The 21,909-nt window shown below is 40.2% G+C and overlaps 1 protein-coding gene and 1 long non-coding RNA gene across 5 annotated transcripts in view; one reads left to right on the top strand and one right to left on the bottom strand.

The window, feature by feature from the left end:
• Positions 1-21,477, bottom strand: part of ELAVL4 (ELAV like RNA binding protein 4) — a 155,718-nt gene extending 134,241 nt beyond the window's left edge. For all 3 annotated transcript variants that reach the window (NM_001324208.2, NM_001144777.3, NM_001438739.1), the window contains exon 1: positions 21,350-21,477. In NM_001324208.2, coding sequence (NP_001311137.1) covers positions 21,350-21,367 — 18 coding nt within the window. In that variant the 5' untranslated portion in view covers positions 21,368-21,477. The remainder of the gene's footprint in view (positions 1-21,349) is intronic.
• Positions 5,873-8,640, top strand: LOC105378709 (uncharacterized). Of its 2 annotated transcripts, XR_947313.4 has the most exons (4): positions 5,873-5,941; positions 6,093-6,208; positions 6,895-7,036; positions 8,389-8,640. It is a non-coding gene; the product is annotated as an uncharacterized LOC105378709 (long non-coding RNA). The 2 variants fall into 2 exon arrangements; XR_947312.4 differs by lacking the exons at positions 5,873-5,941; positions 6,093-6,208 and adding an exon at positions 6,691-6,797.
• Positions 21,478-21,909: the final 432 nt, after the last annotated feature.

Below are 21,909 nucleotides of genomic sequence, written 5' to 3'. Positions count from 1 at the left end.
CTTCTCTGGGCCAGAGTTCAACTTTCCTTTCAGCCATGAATGATTCTAAATCAAACAAATAGATCACAGGCACCCATGTCTAGTGTTGGACAATGGAGCTTCTGGTTTAAAAAACAGCCTTTGGATTTTCTACATCTAGGGAGACAAGACTCAACCAGAATTAACAAGAAAATAAGCTAAGTGTGAGGTGTGGAGCAGTATACAAATGCTATAGGTAATCAGAGACAGGAGACAATAATAGAGGCCAGAGAGGTCCAGAAGGGCTTCATTAAGCAGAAGACCTCACAGAGAATGAGGTGTCCTTGTCACCACAGTGGCTAGGTCTCCATCCAAAGCAGGCAGTCCTCTTAGCTGGTAAATGATGCTGCTGTTACAGAAATTAAAATATGACATAGAGATACATAAACAGAAATGCATAAAATGAAATAAAATCTGTTTCATGTAAGACAGCAGGATGTAGTAGAAAGAGCATGGACTTAGAGCCACAAGGCCTCAGTGATTACTACCTGTGAAATCCTGGGTAAAATACTTATTCTCTCTAAAATAAATAAATGTTTTGTGAATAAGTGGAATAAATGAAATTCAGTTACCATACCCTGTTTAAATCAGGTACAGCTCTATGGTCAATAAAACCACTCTGTGATCCTAGAAAGAGAAACTGTCTATTAAGTAAAGCGTTGTTATTAATTCATTTCATCCAGGGATGCTGAAACCAGAATAGATCATTCTTTTTGGAAAATGTTATCTGCAGACTTCCATTTAAATCCATAGCCATCTTAACTTATCCGTATATTTCACTCAACCAGTCATGATGTTCAGAAATGCAATTCAAAAATCAGTTCTTAATCACCTACTATATCCTAGAATATCCACAGATTTCACACAACCAGACATGTGACGGTCAGAAATGCAGTTCAAAAATCAACCCTTGATCATCTACTACATGCCAGACACTGAGGCAGATGACAAGGATTTGACAATGACAAAGGCACCACTCCTGTGCCCCTGTGGAGTTCATAAGCAGTTGACCAGGCTTTAACAACAGTGTGCCAGAAGCCCTTCTACACTCTACTACTAGACAGCATAGATTTTCACTTTTGAAACCTCCAGCCATTGGTCCCAGCTTGGTCCTGTCTTCTACCTCTTGAAAATCCTTCAAAATACTAGAATATGGAGATTCACTACATTTCTGAGCTTTGTTACCCCCTCTCACCCACCGCCATACCAAAGTGGACTGCTCTTGCATGAAGACATCCTTATTCTCCCATGTCTAGTTATGCATGGTCTTAGATTTCAGGAAGATCTTCAATTTGCCACCCCTATCTCTACATATCCCTGACCACCTACTGAAAAACAAGTTCCCCTAACCTATCCCCCTTAACCTGCTTTATTTTCCTTACAGCACTTAATGATGATCTGAAACTGCATTATTTTGTCTGTTTAGTGGTTTATAAGTGATATGGTTTGGCTGGTTTGGCTATGTCCCCACCAAAATCTCATCTTGAATTATAGTTCCCATAATCCCCACGTGTTGTGGGAGAGACCCGGTGGGAGGTAACTGAATCATGGCGGCAGTTACCTCCATGCTGCTGTTCTTGTGATAGCGAGTGAGTTCTCAGGAGATTTGATGGTTTTATAAGGGGCTTTTCCACCTTTTGCTTGGCACTTCTTCCTGCCATCATGTGAAGAAGGACATGTGTGCTTCGCCTTCTGACACGAATGTAAGTTTCCTGAGGCTTCCACAGCCATGTGGAACTGTGAGTCAATTAAACCTCTTTCTTTATAAATTACCCAGTCTCAGGCACTCCTTTATGGCAGCATGAGAATGGACTAATACAATAAGCTTGTTATTTACATGCACTGCTAGAATGTAAACTTTGTCCCCAGCACCTATCACAGTGCCTGGATACAATAGGTACTCAATCAATTTTTGTCAGAATAAATAAATGACAGAACATACAAACCCTGTATCGGTTTACCTATATCTTTCTGACTACATCTGTCCCTTTCAACTTGGTAGTATTTATATGCATATTTATATACATACATATATCTTCCCTACATGGCTGGAAACTCCTTGAGGATCCATGTCTATTTCACCTTTGTATCTTCTGGACACTTGAGGTAGAGTGTTTCCTGGTTAATGCCTGTTAAATGGAATAAATACATGATATGGTTCCCTACTTGTTCCTCTGCAGGCTTCTTAATCTTAACTTTGTCAAATCACTACCTCAATCCTCAAGAATACGAACATATTTGATTGGTGACAAGGAAAAGTAAAGGACCATTTTAACCACATTTCTGTTGCTTCCTTTTAAGAATTACTTGGCCACTAAGCTTAAAGGTTCTTTCCTCCCACCTCCTACAATCCATCAACCTCTTACTTGATAGGGCTTTTGCAAACACCTGTCAATTTCTTGGGGAGGGGAAAGTGAATAAAACCTTTAAAAAACATGCACTCTCCCAGAGTGCACCAATCTCTGCTTGCTGTGGGTACAAGCTATTTTTACCAGGTGATACTGTGATATTCCTTTTCAACACATGATATTCACTCTTTCAAGCTGTTCGGCACTGTTCTATTTGGTTTCATGTTACATCAATGAGACAGTTTGAGGGAAAAGGAAAAATGGGACATGCTATATTTAGAAGCACCACTGAAACCCTAAATAAAAACTCTGAAAATTTCCTAAGCTCTTTGGCATCTGCATTCAGGACCCTACCTACTGACCTAAGATTAAGGCTGAGTAAAAAATGCTTTTGTGTAGAGAGTATTTTCCTAAGAATATTAATTATAGAAAGCCATTTTCAGTGTATCCAAAACTTTAGAGGGTGAAAAATCATACAGACAGGACTTAAAGAGTCAAACAATTACTACATGTATTTTTTATCTTCATAGTATTTTTTACTCTGCAAATTATGAGTCTAATTATATTTTAAAATAATAAGATGTCTGGTTATGCATCTGGACGTGCTGAGTTTGAGGCAGCCATGTGACAAGTATGAAGAGTTGGCCAACAGCAGTTAGACATGGAAAAACAAAGCTCTGGGGGATTTAGGCTGGAGTATCAATTTCTCTGCATATGGGTAGAACATGAAATGATGAAAGAAAATAACATAAGCCTTGAAGAATCAGGAAAGCAGTAGGATTAGTAGGAAAACTTACTATTCAAATGTTAGCGATCAATGTGTGCTGGAAGGACAAGAAAAAGGTTTCAAAAGAAGTATGTGCCTAAGATAGTATCTAGCATGTTATGAAGGCTAAAACATCCTTAACTCACAGTCTCATTGCAAGACTCAGTGGTTACAGGCAAAAGGTCTTTGTAATCTGTAAAACATGATACAACGATTTGTTTCTCTTATTTCTAGAAGGAATGTAAGGGTGGTAGGGTAGATCAACTGCAAAACTAGCACAATCTTTACCTATAACTATGCCCTTTGCAATGTGACTTTGCAGATCTTCCTAAAAGAGATGTAATCTCTTTCCCCACTCCTGTATCTGGGCTGGTCTTGTCATCTGCTTTGGCCAATAGGATGCAGTAGAAATTCCACCGTGTCACTTCTTCCTTACTTTCGCTCTCTCTTGGTACCCTGCCCAGCTGTCATATGAACAAGCCCTGGTTCTCCTTCTAGAGGAAAAGAGATCACATGGAAGATAGTCCAGTGAGCCCAGCCAAGGCCATCCTTAGATAGCCTATAGCCCTCAACCCCGACACATGTGAAAGAACCTGGTCATGATCAGCAGAGCTACCTTCTTGCCCAAGAGCTGACTAAAACATAAGAATAAGACCAACTGAGATAAAAAGAACTGACTTGTAGACTCATGAGCAATAATAAACATTCACTGTTTCAAACCATTGCATGTGAGGTGGTTAATTATACAGCAATAGGTAACTGATACAAGTAACAATAAATAAACCAGTCCACCCCGAGACATACTATGTGTCTGGCATTCTGCTAATGAGCACTTTGCAGGGATTATTTGATTATTTCATTTGTTTCTCACAATAAATTTATGCAGTAAATATTATTATTCCCATTTTATAGATTATAATAAAATCAAGGTGCACATTGGTTAAGTTAACTTGCTCCAGTGTTGCACAGCTAGCAAACAATGGGACCGAAATTCAAATCTGGCAGTCCAACCTCAGAGCAGCACTTAATCTAAGAAAGAGCATCTTTTCCTTAATCCAACAAATAGGAACTTTTCCCAGTCTTCTCCGGTATAATCTGTTCTAACCTTTTCCTTCACTTCTGATTGTTCTAACTCAAAAGGCCATTTCTATAAATAACAGCAAAAACTGACTTCATTTGTTGATATGTTATTTCATTTGATCCTTACAATAAGCATTAAGTTTCCACCATCACCTTTGTTTTATAGAGGTGAGAGGAAAAGGTGGGGGGTGAGCAGACTGGTTGGGCTGTAACTCCAAGTCTAGTAACTCCACAGCCAACACCCATGTTGCCTGGCCACTCTTCTGAATGGTCTCCAGGTTCTCCATGCCTTCCTTAAGGCTTAATTGCCAGCCGACAGTTCCACTTACTGAACATATACCAAATATCCCCTATGTCTCTAGGCACAAGACTGGCCCTTGAGGAGGCTTCAAAGCAGTTAAACCCATATTCCCTGCCCTCATGGAACTCAACACCACTTGGGGATGCAAGACAGAAATATACAAAAGGCTAAAGGAACAGTAAGAGATGAAAAGTAAGAGGGTATTACTAATTGTCAAATGAATGGAATAAACAGTCAGATTCCAGAGTTCAAAGTGGAGTGAGAGAAAAGTATGTTAGATCTATCCAGCAAGCCTTCACATGGGAGGGATAATAGGATGGGAAATTCTCTGTGGGAACACAGCCTGTCACTGCCATAGGTGTATGATTCTTGTTTTGGGTTGTCATGGTGACTGTATCTTCAAGATATTCATGTGGTGACTATTTAAATCTGGTGACTTTGGACAAGGCCAATTCCTAGTATGTAGACAAAAAAGATTCATCTGAGAGTTCCAACATATCCAGAAGTTGGCAGGACTGATAGCTGGATCCTGGAAACTTGAAACAACTACCACGTCATGCCAATCAATAGATCTAGAAAATGAATAGTAAGATTAGTCTAGTCCAGGGAGTAGAAAAAAAGATAGAGAAAAGGGCCAAGAAGCAATGCAAGCCATGCATCATACATACAGAATGTCAGCAGGTGGTGTTCTAGCCCTTAGGGGCCAGGGAAAAAATCGGTAAGAATAAAACACCTGCACTTGAGAAAATTCAACCAGTTTCACTTCCAGATTATTTTCTTTCTGTTCTCAATACCCAGGAAAGACCCACCTTGATCTAACACAACCTAACTTCCCAGGGGTACCTCTTGCCACCTATGCCCTTGCACTCTATGACACACCAGACACATTGTAATGACTGCAGTTTCTCAGCACACCTTTCTCTATTACACACCCATGCTGCTCCTGGCCTCTGGGACTTGGCACAAGCTTTTCCTTCTCTGGGATTCCTCATTTGTTCTATGTACCATACTCAATCCTGCCTTCCCTCTTCCCCTAGATAATTCCTAATTTTCCTTTATTCCTTAGTTTAAATGTCACTTCCAGTTGAAAATAGGGAAAACAGGAATCCCTGGGTGGGAAAAGACCATACATGAGGAAAGAGGCTGATACAGTGGGCCTGAAGCTAGATGAGATTGGTGGTTCCAGGTCCAGTAAGAGGTTCTAACTGAAAGCCACATTTAACAGTCTGAGAAAAGGAAGGCAGTGTGATAAAGAATGAAATAATTCTGTTACTAGGGTCGCATGTCACAATGCTATGGGACTACCATGAAGGCAGTCCAGACAAGAAGAAAATGCTTCACCAAGAACTGGGAAGAGAGGAGCACCTGAGATCTGGAAGCAGGAAAAATGGCAAAAGTCCCCAAGTGATGGTGGAAACGCTCGAAGAGGTCTTACAGAAAGAGGGTGGTTAGCCAGAGAGATAAGCTTATCAAAATAGATGAGTGCAAATGCTGATATAGGAACAGAGATCTGGAGACAGTGGCCATAGAGGAAGCTAAAAAACCATCAGGTAATATAACATGTACGTGTTTCCTACAGTGGCAGTAGCATAGGAGAAAGGTACAGGCAGCTTTAAAGCAACAAACAAAACAACAGTAGACAATGACCAGGAAATATGGTGAGAAGAGTCATCGGAAGAAAAGAAAGGCAAAACTGTAAGTAGCAGAACACATTATATAAATATCATTAATAATAAAAATAATATTCACCATGTATGAAGCGTTTACTCAATTACCAAGAATCTATTAATAATATGCATTATTTCATATGGAAAAAATGGCCTCGAGGATGTCCAGAGAGATACAAGAAAGGAGCAAGGCTGACAGTGTGCCATTTTGTAGGTGGAAGACTATATATCCACTGGAAATATTTAAAGTGACCTCTCCTAGGATCCAACTGGAGGGGTCTAGAGGACATTCAGGTTACATTTGTTTAGAATCCAATTATCCTACCAGAATGAAACCTTCTTGAGGACAGAGACTGTGCTTTTTGTTCACCACTGTGTGAACAGAACCTGGCACTGGGCCTGACACATGAGAGTACTAGATAAATATGGGTTGGTAGACTTAACAAACAAGTATGGATGGGTGAATGGATGGATGGATTAATGGATAAAAACTCAGCTTAACATATTTGTATCATCGGGAAGCAAGATAGAAAGCATGTGTCCATGTTTGAACCAAAAATTTAAAGGGGAATGGAAACATCCCAAATCCACACCTGCTGATGACAGTGAGAAATAAGGTGAGATACTCTCAAGAGAATGGTAGAATTCATCTGCCCCCACCTTTTCCCTCCTGTGTATTCTATTTCAAATCTCTTTTCTATTCACATCTTACAGGCCAAGCAAACAAATGATTCTCCTCATTCATTGATTCAACAAACACTTCCTAAGCTCCTCAAGGGGCCAGGGCCCAAGGCAGGCATGAAGTAGCACTGAGCACACAGACAAGCAGGACACAGGCTGGGAAATATCAATTAAGGTGGGTGTGGTATGGTAAGTGCAGAGGGTTCCTGTAAGAATACAGAATAGTCATGCCCAACTCAATTTGGGGTGGTCCAAAGACATAACAGGCATCCCAGATAAATATGATGGCATGGCTACAGGAACAAGAGGAGGAAGAGTAGTCCATTCAGAGGTAGAAGAAGTGAGAAATGACACAAATTAGGTCCCTCCTCTGGGCTCTCAGGGCACCCTGCACATATCTCATCATTGCATTTAGAGCAAAGACCGATGCTATCTGCTTATTCTCCTTGTTTTCTCCACAAGATTGTGGACTCCTTGAGATCAAAGGCTATGTTATTCATCTATATACTTCTAGCATCCAGCCAAGTTTCTGGGATACAAAGGATACTTAACTGGATGAACATGAACTTCAGAAAGGGAAGGCAACATACCATAATGGTTAAAAACATGATGAAGAACACTGAAACTCACTTGGCTGTGACACCTTGAGCCATTTCTCTGTGCCTCAGTTTCTTCATCTGTGACAGGAGGATAATAATAATACTTATCCGTATTAGTTGGGTCTACCCAGAAACAGACAATGAGACAGACAGAAGTGCAAGAGATTTATTAGTTTGCTGTGAAAATTTTGGGGCGAGGAGGGTGAAGAAAGTAGAATTGGAGACAGAGTCTCAGACTATGAGGCAAATCAGACAAAGGCCTGCCAACCTAATGGAGAGCTCTGAAATAAAGATTACCCATTAGGGGAGTTCCCACACTGGGCAGAAATGGCCAGGCCTTAGTACTCCCAGAGTGTTCAGTCATTGGCTAGGACCGCCCAGCAAAAGCATGGCCTACAGGCACTGCAACTGGAGACTGTCATCTAACTGCACTCCTTGCAAACAAACATAAGCTTCCTCTTAAAGGCAGATCTGAATGGTGCACCTCCATGAGGGCCACACTACCTGATGGGGTTGTGAGGTTTCCATTAGTTACTATGGATTAAACATGTTAAACAGTGCCCAGAATTTAGTATGCATTATTTAAGGATTTGGTCTTACTGTGAGTTATCTATACAACTACATGTAATTTTAAAACTTGAGTCTATGTTAGTAATTATAAACTCAAATGACTACAGGGGATAGGTAGGAAACATAAATGTGTAAATGGACCTAAAAAAGAGGAAAGGAGGCCCATGGTCTCTATAGCCTAACTGGAGAGTACATGCCTTGCCTTAAGGGATTCAGGTTAAAAACAATACCAAAGAAAATAGCCACTATTCAAGCCCAGCAAAGAGTCAAACCTTGAAAACTAAATTGGCATATAATTTTATGAACAAACCAAAGCTATTATGTAAATATCTTCTCCATCACTTTTGTTCACTGACAGTTAAGCGCAGAGCATCATAAGGACCTTACTTTTCAAAATCCATGCTGGTGAACTTGACCTCTTTGATACTTTAGGATTGATATTACAATCTCAAGAGGTATCACGGAATATTGAGGTTTGTTCTGCATTTGGTTATTCAAAGCTTTGATTTTTTAAATGTATAGAGATACTCTGTGCTGGATATTAAACACATGTCTATTTCTTTTTCCTCTCCAACAAGGGAAATAGAAGAAAAATTATCTTGAATGAGGGATGTAAATCATGCTTGAGTGCTACAAGGCACTCAGGGTACCTGGCCAGAGGAAGTAGGCAGACAACTTTGTCCAGCCACAATGGACAAAGAAGAGATGGAGTGGTGTGGGGAAATCAGGTTCTGGGCCTGTAAAGTGTGGAGACATAGGCTCACTGTGCCTATGAGTCTCACTGAGTTCTGAGACTTGTTTGAGACTTGGCAGGTGACAGTGGGAAAGTATTCCTACAAGTAGGATCATACTGGTGGCAGTGCAGTAGTTAGAACAGAGGACCCAGTGTAGCACCTTCTCAGCTAGAGGCCGACCCAGGCCCTCCTCCATAGTAAGAGCAGGAGATTCTGCTTCATGAAGTCCTTAGTCACTGCTCTGGATCTTGATCCTGAGCCAAGTTGTGACTCTGCCACCAGTTCTCTATGACTTAGCTGCAAAGCATGACATCACTTATGATTCCTGATTGTGGCATATTGATGTAGTTTGAGCTGCTGAGGGGAAAAGGAATGTGGACACTCCTGTTATACCCAATTATGTATCATGAAAAGTCATACAGCTTCTGTTGGAAGTCGAGCTTTTGATAAACAGACGGCAGGTGCCTAAATGACATTCCTTGATGACACTTGAAAAGGTCATAACAATCTCTCTGAACTCTGAAATTCTAGGTTTTGTATAAAGAGATTTGACTATTCTGTTTTTACTTGTAATGAACAGTATATGACAGGTAAACTTTAGGGCATACAATAACTTCATTTCAATTCTGTAGCACAGTGGAATATTTGAAAAATACTTTATTGAGATAAAATTTATAAAACAAAACTAACCATTTTAAAGTGAACAATCAGTGGCATTTAGTAGGTTCACATTTTTGTGCAATCATGACCTCTATCAAGTTCCAAAACACTTCCATTATTCCCCCTTATTCATTAAGCAGTTTTTCCCCATTCACCCCTGCTCCCTAACCCCTGGCAACCACCAATTTGCCTTGACACTATAGATTTATCTATTCTGGATATCTCATAAATGAAATAATATAATATGTGACCTTTTGTGTCTGGCTTCTTTCACTTATGTTTTGGAGGTTCATCCATGTTGTAGCATATATCAGAATTCATTTCTTTTCATGGCTGAATAATATTCCACTGCATTATATAAAACAATTTGTTTATGCATTCATCCATTCATGGACATCTGGGCTGTTTCTACCTTTTGGCCATTTATGAATAATGCCTCTATGAACATGTGTGTACTTGTACTTGAATACTTGTTTTCTATTCCTTTGGGTATATATGCCAAGGACTGAAAGCAAAACAGGAGGGTTCCATTTTCTCCAACGGTTTTTTTTTTTAAAAAACCTCCTCACCAATACTTTTTTTTTAAATCATAGCCATGCTAGTAGGTGTAAAGTGGTATCTCATTATGGTTTTAATGACGCTGAACATCTTTTTATGTGTTTGCTGGCTATTTCTTAACATTTTAAATAACAATCAGGGATCCAAATTTCAGTTAAAATTTCATTTTATATGAGGCTTCCAAATGCAAATAAATGAACTGAAGTGACAGTTTAACAGGTACTTTCTGTGAGCTCCACTAAGTCCGTGCATGTATAGGCAATGACAACTGCATCACAACTTGCTAAGTTTTAGTGTAGTATTTTTTAAACTTTATTGTAAAATGCATTCCATCTCAGAAATCTTATCTTAGAATCAGAGAAATATGATTGATATTTAAGAAAATGCAAGCTCTACAAGGGTGGCAATTTTTATTTATACCACTCTACTAGGCACTCAATAAATGTTGGCTAATTAAAGGTATCAGTTTGACCACCTGGACCCAGAGACTGAAAAATTTAATGCAGGCAGTAAGGAAGAAAAATGAATCTAGGATAATTTCTAGATTCAATATTTTTCTGCCTAGGGCCACTGGGTAAATGGTGGTGCCATTAACCAGAATAGTGAATAAAGGAACAAGAACACTTATAATAAAAGAATTATCCTGGGCCAGGTGCGGTAACTCATGCCTGTAATCCCAGCACTTTGGGAAGCTCAGGGGGATGGATTGCTTGAGCCCAGGAGTTTGAGACCAGCCTGGGCAACATGGGGAAACCTCATCTCTAAAAAAAAATACAAGCATGGTGGTGCATGCCTATAGTCCTAGCTACTAAGGAGGCTGAGGTGGAAGGATTACCTGAGCCTGGGGGGTGGAGGCTGCAGTAAGTCCTGATCGTGCCACTGTACTCTAGCCTGGGTGACAGAGTAAGACACTGTCAGGAAAAAAAAAAAAGGAATTATCTTAGAATTCTTACCATTAATGCGGAGGTCCATTTTTACTTTTTTTTTTTCTTTAGGCTAGTCAAGTGAAGTCATTTTTACTTTTTAATCTTCAATTTTCATGCTCCCTTTATAACAACCTTTCCATGTGGATAAGTGTAAAAGAAAAGTGAAAGGGTGCTATAGAAACATAAGGTAAGAATGCTGCCCCTTTCAAAATTTCCCATTTAATTTTTTTGTGGTTTGGTTTCCTCCTATATATCCTATCCTGTCCTTACCCCTGCTGAATGTCAATCCATCTCACATCAATCTAGTGCTCCATGGTTATAATGACAGTGTTTACAGTACTGGTTATCCCAATTTGGTTTTGTAAATTTAAATCTGTTCTCTAGCTTATGAATTGGAGAACGTCTCCCACAGAACATCATTTATCTATAAAAGCAGATCATGGTCCACTGTGACCCCTATATGACACCACTTTGTGATTAGAGGGACATAGCACTAAATTTTAGTTTACTCTGATCACTTCCCCCCGTGGACTGGTTCTTCCATTTCAAAAATCAGAAAAAAATAACTCAAGCTTCCTTTAATTTGGAAAAATGTTTCGGTGCTGTCTTTTAAAATTATTTTATTGTAAGAATACTCTAGCTTTGCTTGCATAATTTATACCCAAAAAGAATAAATCACACCCTTGAAGGTGAGAGAAATATTATTTCAACTCACAAGATTGTCCCATGTATACAAAAGTTTCTTGAGCTCTGTTCTTGTCATATGTCCCAAACAACATGGTAACTTGACATCATATTATAGTACAGTCACGTGTTGCTTAACAATGGGGATACGTTCTGAGAAATACGTCAGGCAATTTTGTCATCATGCAAACATCACAGAATGCACTTACACAAAGCCTAGGTGGTATAGACTACCGCACACCTAGGTTATATGGGATAGCCTACTGTTCACACGCTACAAACTTGGACAGCATGTGACTAGTTAATACTGTAGGCCTCTGTAACACAATGCTTGTATTTGTGTATCTAAACATAGAAAAAGTACAGTAAAATAGAGAATAAAAGATTAAAAACAGTACATGTTTATAGGCAGTTGCCATAAATGGAGCTTGCAGGGCTGGAAATTACTCTGAGTGAGTCAATGAATGAGTGCTGAGTGAATACGAAGGCCTAGGACATTACTGTACACTACTGTAGACTTTATAAGCATTGTACAATTAGGCTACACTGAATTTATAAAAATGTTTTTTCTTTTAATAATAAATTAACTTTAGCTTCTGTAACTTTTTTACTTTATAAATTTTTAAACTTTTAGACTCTTATAATAACACTTAGCTGAAAACACAAACACATGTACAGCTGTACACAAATATTTTCTTTCTTTATATCCTTTTCTATAAGCTTTTTTCTATTATTTTTTTTTTTACTTTTAAAACCTTTGCAGTTAAAAATGAAGATAAGAATGCACACAGTAGCCTAGGCCCATACAGGGTCAGAATCACCAATATCACTGTCTTGCACCTCCACATCTTGTTCCACTAGAAGGTCTTCAAGGGCAATAACAAACATGGACCTGTCACCTCCCGTGATAACAATGCCTTATTTTGAAATAACTCCTGAAGGACCTGCCTGAGGCTGTTTTACAATAAACTATTTTTTAAAATAAGTAGGTGTGCTTTTTTTTTTTTTTTGATACAGTCTTGCTCTGTCACCCAGGCTGGAGTGCAGTGGCACGATCTTGGCTTACTGCAAGCTCTGCCTCCCGGGTTCACGCCATTCTCCTGCCTCAGCCTCCTGAGTAGCTGGGACTAGAGGCGCCCGCCACCATGTCCAGCTAATTTTTGTATATTTAGTAGAGATGGAGTTTCACCGTGTTAGCCAGGATGGTCTCGATCTGACCTCGTGATCCGCCTGACTTGGCCTCCCAATGTGCTGGGATTACAGGCGTGAGCCACCTCACCCGGCCGGTGTACATTCTTAAATAATGATAAAAATATAGTATAGTAAATGCATAAACCAGTTACCTAGTAATGTATTAACATTATCAAGTGTTATATACTGTACATAATTGTATGTGCTATACTTTTATATGATTGGCAGCACAGTAGATTTGTTTACACCACTATTACCACAAACATATGAGTAATGTATTATGCTACGATGTTACAATGGCTATGATGTCACTAAGCAATGGGAGTTTTTCAGCTCCATTATAATCTTAGGGGACCTCCATCATAAATGAACTTCGTTGTTGACCTAAACGTACTTATGTGGTGCATGACCATACAGTATTACACTCAGTGCCATTTCCCCCTCAACAAGAACAGACAGGGAAAGTTTGTAGTACAAAACTCTTATTAGTAATACAAACTTGGGGTGTGACTTATATTATTACCATCATGCACCAGGCACTTCTAGAACACTAGTTCCAGTGACCTGAGTAAGATCCTCAACTTTTGCTTCCCAGATGACCCTTTGTCCAGAAACTCATGCTGTGAGAATAAAAAGACCTTTACTATCAGAAATGTAGGGAAAAAGATGGGCACCCAATCTCCAGGGAAAGAAAAGGAAATCCCTTTTATAATAGCAGCAGAGCCAACTAACCCAGATCAATCACAAGTTGCATAAGAGAGCAAAGTTATACAGAGTCCTACTCAAACCTCCAGCAGCAAAAACATGACTTCCTGGCGTAGACTTCCTATTTAGGCAGTCTGCAGTTGATGACTACTCAGAACTTTTGCTTTTTATTTTCTCCTTACTCCCATCTCCACCCTACCTCTCTGAAATTTTAACTCAAGTCAGCACAACTTCAAAACTTTTCCTGTAAAGGTTTTCGTTGAAGGAGCCTCATACTAAGTCATTTGCTCAATAAATAACTTGTTGATCGTCCCAAAGTGCTGGGATTACAGGCGTGAGGCACCGTGCCTGGCCTATATAGAATTTTGAAGGTCAAAGTAGAAAGATTTTTTCAACACTATCCACCAGTTGGGATAAGTTCCTTTGTGGTATATTTAAAATTGATTGTTGGGCATGGTGGCTCACGCCTGTAATCCCAGCACTTTGGGAGGCCGAGGCGGGTGGATCACGAGGTCAGGAGATCAAGACCATCCTGGCTAACACGGTGAAACCCCGTCTCTACTAAAAATACAAAAAATTAGCTGGGTGTGGTGGCGGGCGCCTGTAGTCCCAGCTACTCGGGAGGCTGAGGAAGGAGCATGGTGTAAGCCCAGGAGGCGGAGCTCGCAGTGAGCCAAGATCGCGGCACTGCACTCCAGCCTGGGAGAAAGAGCGAGACTCTGTCTCAAACAAAAACAAAAACAAAAACAAAAACAAAACAAAAAAAAAACAAAACAAATTGATCATGCTTTGAAGTCACAAAACCAGGATTTAAGTCCCTATTCTTGTCATTTACTGGATATCTATTATTGGGCAAGTCATCCAACTTCTCCAAGACTGTCGTTTTTAAAGTGGTGTCTTGGTCAGGGTCTCAACAGGAAACAGAAGGCATATTCAAAAAGGGAAATTGCGCAGGATTTAATGAAGATAAGTCATTGAAGATAGAAACAGTGGAGACCCAGCCCTAGATCTTGAGAGAACCCATAGAGAGAGAGAAAGCTGTAGCTGTAGATTGGATAGGTGATGTGGCCTCCACGCAGCCACTGCTAGCCACTGCTAGCCAGTAACCTGGAAGGGAGGGAGCTGGAGAAGTAAATATTCCAAACTCACTTTTCTTCTGTCTGAGATATCCTGTAAGTGCTCCGTATTGGCTGAATCCTTCCAGAAGCAAGAGTGCAAGGGAGCTTGTTGATGAAGCTATGAAGGTCAGCCCTAAGGCCACAGAAAGGATTGGGAAAAGGGTAGAGAGTAACATCTCAAGGGCAAATGAAAGATACTCAGCCCAAAACTTAATAATGGCTGTCCACCTCTCACATAGATTTGCTGTGAGGATCAAATTAATAATATTAATATATGTAAAAATACTTTGTAAACTGTAAACAAAATACACAAATATAATAATTATAAGGTCTATCCTATAAGAAATAAACAAAAAAGAATAATACCAATCTATGGTATGAGTCTTCTAAGGTTGACAGATCTCACACTTTTAAATCTAGTATATTCTTTACACTGGAATTTATTCTTTCTGGTTAAAAGTTCCAATCATGAGGACAAAAATCAAACAGAAAAGGGAATTTTCAGTATTAAATAAGTGAAAAATTAATTCCCCTGGCAAGATGGGAGTGACAATGGTTGGGCAGGACTCAGACACCTACACATCAGCATCTACCAGGTTGTTTTCCTGCCTTCCTCCCTTTTCCAGATCCTAATCTAACTTCTGCCAGCAGCAGAATTAGCAGAAGTCCATTTTCTATTGCACTTCAGAACCAGTTCTTATAAGCACAAATTCATTTGCCAAAGAAACATTCAACAAGCATTTGGAGAGAATCACTATGCTAAGCATCTACTTACTGGTAGACAATATTTACGTCAACATTTACTCAGTATATAAAACTTATAACTCAATTTACAATAGTTTTCCTCCTTGCTCACTCCTCTCAAGCCACACTGACCTCCTTGCTGTAACTTGAACCCCTCTAGGTATACTCCTGCCATATGGCCTTTGCCCTGGCTGTTCCCTCTGCTTATAACCCCCAGATAGCCACACAACTAAAACTTCTTCATCTTCATCAAGTTTTGTTCAAATATCACTTACCAGTGAGGCCTACTGTATTCAAGACTGCAATCCTCCACTGGAATCCTTATCCCTCTTTATCTTACTCTATTTTTTTTCCCACATAGCATTTATAACTGTCTAACGTGCTCTATGACGCACTTCTTGATTATGGTTATTTTTAATGTCTACTTTCTCTTGTTCCTTTGCTGACAGGGATAGCTGAGTTTTGTTCACTGATACATCCTAAACAGCTACAACTGGGCCAGGTCCATACCAGACACTCAATAAACATTCACTGAATCTATCAATCAATCTTGCCTATAATCCCAGCACTTTGAGAGGCTGAGGTGGGAGGATCACTTGAGGCCAGGAGTTTGAGAATAGCCTGGGCAACATAGAGAGACCCTGTCTCTACAAAAAAATGCAAAAATTAGCTAGGCTTGGTGGCGTGAACCTGTAGTTCCAGCTACTCAGGAGGCTGAGGTTGAAGGATTGCTTGAGCCCAGAAGGTCAAGGCTACAGTGAACTGTGACCATGCCACTACACTCCAGTTTGGGTGACAGAGCAAGACCGTCTCAAAAACACAAAACATAAAAAACAAAAACCAATCATCCATCAGTCATCTGAAATGGTTGTAGGAGGCTCAGAGACATGAGCAATTGTTTGTCAATGGAAGTATTAAAAGTACAAAAAGAAGCTATTTTGGTGTTATATTTTAAATATAATAGACTCACCCCAACTATAACTTGTTGCAAAATTGTTGCTCATAGGTGAAAATTCATAGTGATGATTAACCTTCATTACAATGAAAAGTAAAAGCTGCAGTATTTCTATTAAAAGAAACATAAGATCAAGTATCAAGCTGGTACTATAGATAATAAGCGTTTGCAATTAACATACTGTGAATAACTGTAAACTCTGTTATTATACTAATAAAATTTAAAAATTCCTACAGCAACTGGGAACTCCGTAGCAGTTGCAATGTCAACACTAGCCACTTTGCCAGTTGTTCAGAGGCTGTGCAAATTAGCACAAACTGGTAGTAACAGTAACACACATAGGGTTTTTGGGAGTCATTTTTGCACAACATAAGTTTAGCAGTTTTTTCTTTTCTTTGGATAAAATATCATACTCTGATGCATGAACATGTGGAACAGAGATGAACTTCAAACTAGTGAGGAGAATAAACTGTGTAGTAGGCAGTTTAGGTTCCTCTGAGTAAACTATTGCCAGACTCTGATTTGAGTGAACAAAGGTGCTTGTGTGGCAAATTTTGGTCCATAAATTCATGGTTTGAATATGTGGAAAAGATGCATCAAGGGATTAGTATAATTATTTTGTTTCAGAGATACCAGAGGGTCAAAGAGCTCAAATGACAAGGGGGTATGAAAGTATCAAAGTGGTAAATGGTTTCTTCTGAGAAAGTCAAACCTTCTGCTTCCATCACCTAAGATACTATAAAACTAGAAAGATTAGGAAGCTACTGCACAGCTGTCTTTTTTGATCAATGAAAGACATTGCTAGTGGACCTTATCACAGATTAAACTCAGCTTGGACAATGACCCTAACTCAGCTTCAGTTATAATCAGCTTTACACACAAAAAGTGTGGGGTGTGTATGTGTAGGTGTATCTGTATGTGTGTGTGTTGGTACATGATGAGTATTTTGGGGTTTCTCACATGTAAATCCAAATTGAACTGTTCTAAAACAAGAATTAAAATCTCACCTGTTTCATATTCTGCATGCTGAATTATTTTGAAAGAATCAATACAGCTTTTTACTAAAACCATGTGTTACTGGCTAAATTAAGTCCCTTCAAATTCATATGTTGAAGTGCTAACCCCCAGTATCTCAGGATGTGACTGTATTTTCATATAGGGCCTTTAAAAAAGTAATTAAGGTAAAAGGAGGTCATGTGAGTGGGCCCTAATCCAACAGGACTGGTATTCTTAAAGAAGAGATTAGGCCGTAAACAGAGCAAAGAACATATGAAGAGATAGACAAGACAGCCATTTTACAAGCCAAGGAGACAGATCTCAGAATAACAACCTTGCTAACACCTTCATCTTGAACTTCTAGCCTCCAGAACTGTGAGAAAATAAATTTTTGTTGTTTAAGCCTCCCAGTCTGTGATATTTGTCATGGCAGCCCTAGCAAACTAATACTCTATGTATGATTCATCTCATCATATTGTTCTATCAAAAGATGAAATAGATTTTAAAAATCCAGTTCCCAATAAAAAAATCACAAGTTGATAGATGCCTCATTTATGCAGTACCATGAGTGAATAAGTCATTCCACATTAAGTAAGATATCCAGATAACTGAAGCTTGCCCTTAACAAGCCTAAGTTTGTAATCTAATCCTATCAGATGGAAATGTTTCTAAAATACATCATTATATACTGCCCCACTTTTTAGAGAGAATATACAATTTAACTTTTTTAAAGAATAAAAATTAAAATGTCCAATAAATCAGCAATACTATTCAGTACTCTAATTCAAGTTTTACTTTGGCCCAAGAATAAGACTGATTTCTCATGTCTTATCTTTATAATTCATTCGCCCCTTACATTCAGCTAATATTTCTTGAAACTTGTATCTAGCAAGGCTTCTAAACTACTATAGGCTGAGAAACTAAGGAACTAAACATGTTAGAACTATGTCTGAAGTAAAAATAAAAAGGCTTGAGGGAATATGAGAGGAGCTTGCCTCTAAGTAAATGAGTTAGCATACTCTTTGTGGATATATGTTTGCTTTTGAGAAAAGTTTTTGCTTCCCTCACAGATTTGCCTATATTCCCAAGACATAATGTTGTAAAAAGTTCATGACTACTAAGTTTAGATAAGTGAGATTTCAGTTTTACAACATTTTATTAATAATTTTTGGCTTGTTTCTACCTCAAAAACTTTTAACAGCATATTTACGATAGATTGATATTATAATCTATATAGTGTTGATTCTGCCCTATAAAAAAGATGAATTTGAATATATCAACTTAAAAACTAACAGCTAGCATGTATCAGTATTTACCATGTGCCTGGTACTGTGCTAAACACACTTTACATATTTCACTTAGCTAAAACAATGCATAGAATTTATTGAAAGCAGGAAAAGGGATGCAAAATCACTATGATTTTTCAGCAACTGTGAATAATGGATGGATATTATAATATCCATTATCATATTATGCAAATGAGCAGTACTGCTCAAATAAAACATTTCAATTTTTTTTAAGCTACTAATGAAAACTAGTACCAAATTAAATATAATCTTGGCACAAGACAATCACTTTTTTCCATGGACCATCACTCCTGACATCAACCTGAAAAATTAAAGCACCTTCTCTAACTTTCCTGTGGCTCAGGATAAACTTACGAAGAAGGTATGCTATTATGCAGAATTAGGCCTCCCAAAGGCATGTACTTAACACATCTGGATGTTAATTTTAAGCATGAACTTTATTGATATATAATGCACATAAAATCAAATGCACAGATCATAAAGGTTCACTCTGATGAGTTTTGACAAATGGATATACCTTTGTAACCAACACCCCAATCAAGATAAAGCATATTTCAGTCACCCCAGTGAGCTCCCTCCTGTCCCTTTGTAGCCAAATCTCCCTCCCCAACTACAAGGAGCCATTTTTAAGCAGATGTAGTAGCAATGGTGGTAATAGCTACTGTTTATGTTTGGTTGATAATAGCAGTATTTACTGAATGCCCATATGGCAGGCACTGTACATATATAATATTAATTCTCATGTCAACTTTACGAGGTTGGTATTAACCCCATGTATCTATGGCGAAAAAAGTGGCAGGAAGGACCAAAAAATTAATTATGCAAGTCACATAACTACTGAGTGGTGAGGTCAGACCGGAACCAAGAATATCTAATTTAAAATCTCTCATGCTAAACTATATTGCACTTACACAAATGCTAAGGAGTTTTCTGTCAACCCAAAGCACACAGTAAGTAGAGGAATTAGTAAGGCCACCAGCTCTAACTCACAACTCCACCTCTATTACAACCCACACCCAAGTACCTTATCTTAGCAAGCAAGTAAAGGTTTCAGAGGCTAATACTAATGATAACTAAAGAGGATTACTTTAGTTCTTCAACTAAAAACCTGCATGTAAATCCCTCATGTATTTCTAGAGTAGTTAGTAGAGGAGGAAAATCCTCTGTATAGGTGGGTGGGTCACAACCCCATCGGCCCCAAGGATTTTGTTAGTGCTTTAAAAAATGAATGGAAGGAATCCAGCCATCCACTTGCTCATGGTTGACCCCATAAGCCACAGTGCCACAGTCTACCCTACCTAAAAACTGAAAGGAGAGGTGCCGCGCAGCATTGTACTGTCACTTTATTAAGGAAGCAAGTGGTGTCATGCAGCATTGTACTGTCACTTTATTGAAGAAGCAAGGAGGCAAACATCTGGATTGAACCTTTTGATTCCTTGTTACGTTAATTTTATTCAGTGTTTTAAACTCAACCCACTCACATTTACAAAACACTTCACACAGACTACTTCCCTCATGAATGGAGTTCCATTCACATCTCACTTAAAACATCAAACTTATTCTGAAATGATGGAGGTTAAAGCTTGTTCAGTGTCAATTTGCAAGTATTATAAAATATTAAAAGCTAGGCGCACAAATGCAGGAGGATAATGTGAGGCAGCTTCTCAAGGAGCTCTACTAAATTAAAGCATTTAGGTAAGGGGCATGGATAGGCTTAAAGGCACCAGAGAGCTCTCAACAAACTGTGTTGTGGAGCCCTGTATTTAAGTCCCCAGTGGGAAGATTTTATGAAAATTATTACCCTTGAGTGGTATTGGCTAACAGCTTGGGAATCAATATGACTCATTTTCCCCCAAACCTGGAATTGTTTTCTAGAAGTCCCTCCCTTCGGTTTCCCTGTGGTCTCCTCAAGTCCCTTAACATATGTTGGGGGAGGGGAGGTTCTCTCCTTGTAGAAACAAATGAGTCTCCTGCAGGTTCAAGACTTCAAGACCTGTGTTTACTAAATCCTACATGTATAACAGCCCCCAGCCCAAAGAGAGACAACAATTACAACATACACAGGTACACCCTACGAACACTTGAGGCTCCTTCTTCCTCAGCTAAACATGAGCACTGCTTAGTGTAACACACGCGCCTTCCCAATCTCGTCTAGAAATACCCAAGTCCCAGGTCCACAGCGGGGTGTAATAGAGGAAAGATAGGGGAGGGTGCTGCCCTCCCTGTGAGACAATTAGCGAAAGTCACACAGAGGGGCCCCCTGAGGATCCAAGTCCGCGCGCCCAGCGCCTCGGGACCCTGATCGCCCGAAGCTGCCTGGACTTTTTGGCGCCACCAGGACGTTCAACAAAGCCACCTCGAGGACAACTACGGAAAGGCGCAGAGAGGAGTGGCGCGGGGCTGCTGCGGGGTCGCCTGTCGCTGGGGAGGGGGCGCGCGTCAACCCAAGTTTCAGCTCTCTCCCCTGGGGCCGGGAAGTCTCAGGAGGCCGGCAGGGGTGTGACCCTGACCTGCGGGGCCAGAGCCGCCAGATGGGCTGCGGGTGGGGTCGCCAGGAGCCCTCAGGTCTGGGCAGCGCGGGGGCAGGATCCTCTTGCAAGGGCCCTCTCCCCCTCCCTGGGAGTCGGGGTGGCCAGGCTGGCCGCTGGGAGAAGCCAGTCGCGACCACGTGGCCCAGCGGGTGTCCGTAACAGAGGGCGGGCAGAGTCGGGGGTGCGGGGCCTGCGCCGAGGCGCTTCTACCTGGTTCTTGAGGCGCATCTTCCCCGCCGGGCGATCCGGCCCGAGGCTGCGGAGGCTGGGTGGGGCGGAGCGCGGCGGGCGGGAAGACGTCCGCAGAGTCTCACCGCTCTCGCTCTCTAGCTCGCTCTGCGGCTCCGCCACCGTCGCCGCCGCCACCCCCTGCCCACCTCGAGGGGGCGCTTCGCGTAGAGACGGAGGACGACTCCTGCGAGTCAGGTTCCTGTGGTGGCCCTGGCACCTACCTAGGGGGTTGGCATTCCAGTATGCTCAAAATGTTGAAGGAGAAAATCTCCTCTCTTTCCTCCAATGCTACTCCCTGTGGTCTGCTTAAATTTTAAATGAGGTAGTTTCTTTGCAGCTAAAGTTCACTGACACCGTTTGGACCAATGTTAATTGCTGTGCCGGACCCACGGGGTTTATAAATGTGACGAATTCAGAACCCTTAGAATAAATCTTACCCTTTGGGGAGAGGAGCATGGAGAAGGTGGCTTGTCTTTGGCAGGGAATGTAGACACCTTAAGTAGATCCTTCAAGTCATGTTTGGCTGTTTGGTGTCTAAG

This window comes from Homo sapiens, chromosome 1 (assembly GCF_000001405.40).
Source record: "Homo sapiens chromosome 1, GRCh38.p14 Primary Assembly".
Lineage (NCBI taxonomy): Eukaryota > Metazoa > Chordata > Mammalia > Primates > Hominidae > Homo > Homo sapiens.
The sequence above is the reverse complement of the archived record's forward strand: the minus strand, read 5'-3'. Positions and strand labels throughout refer to the sequence as shown.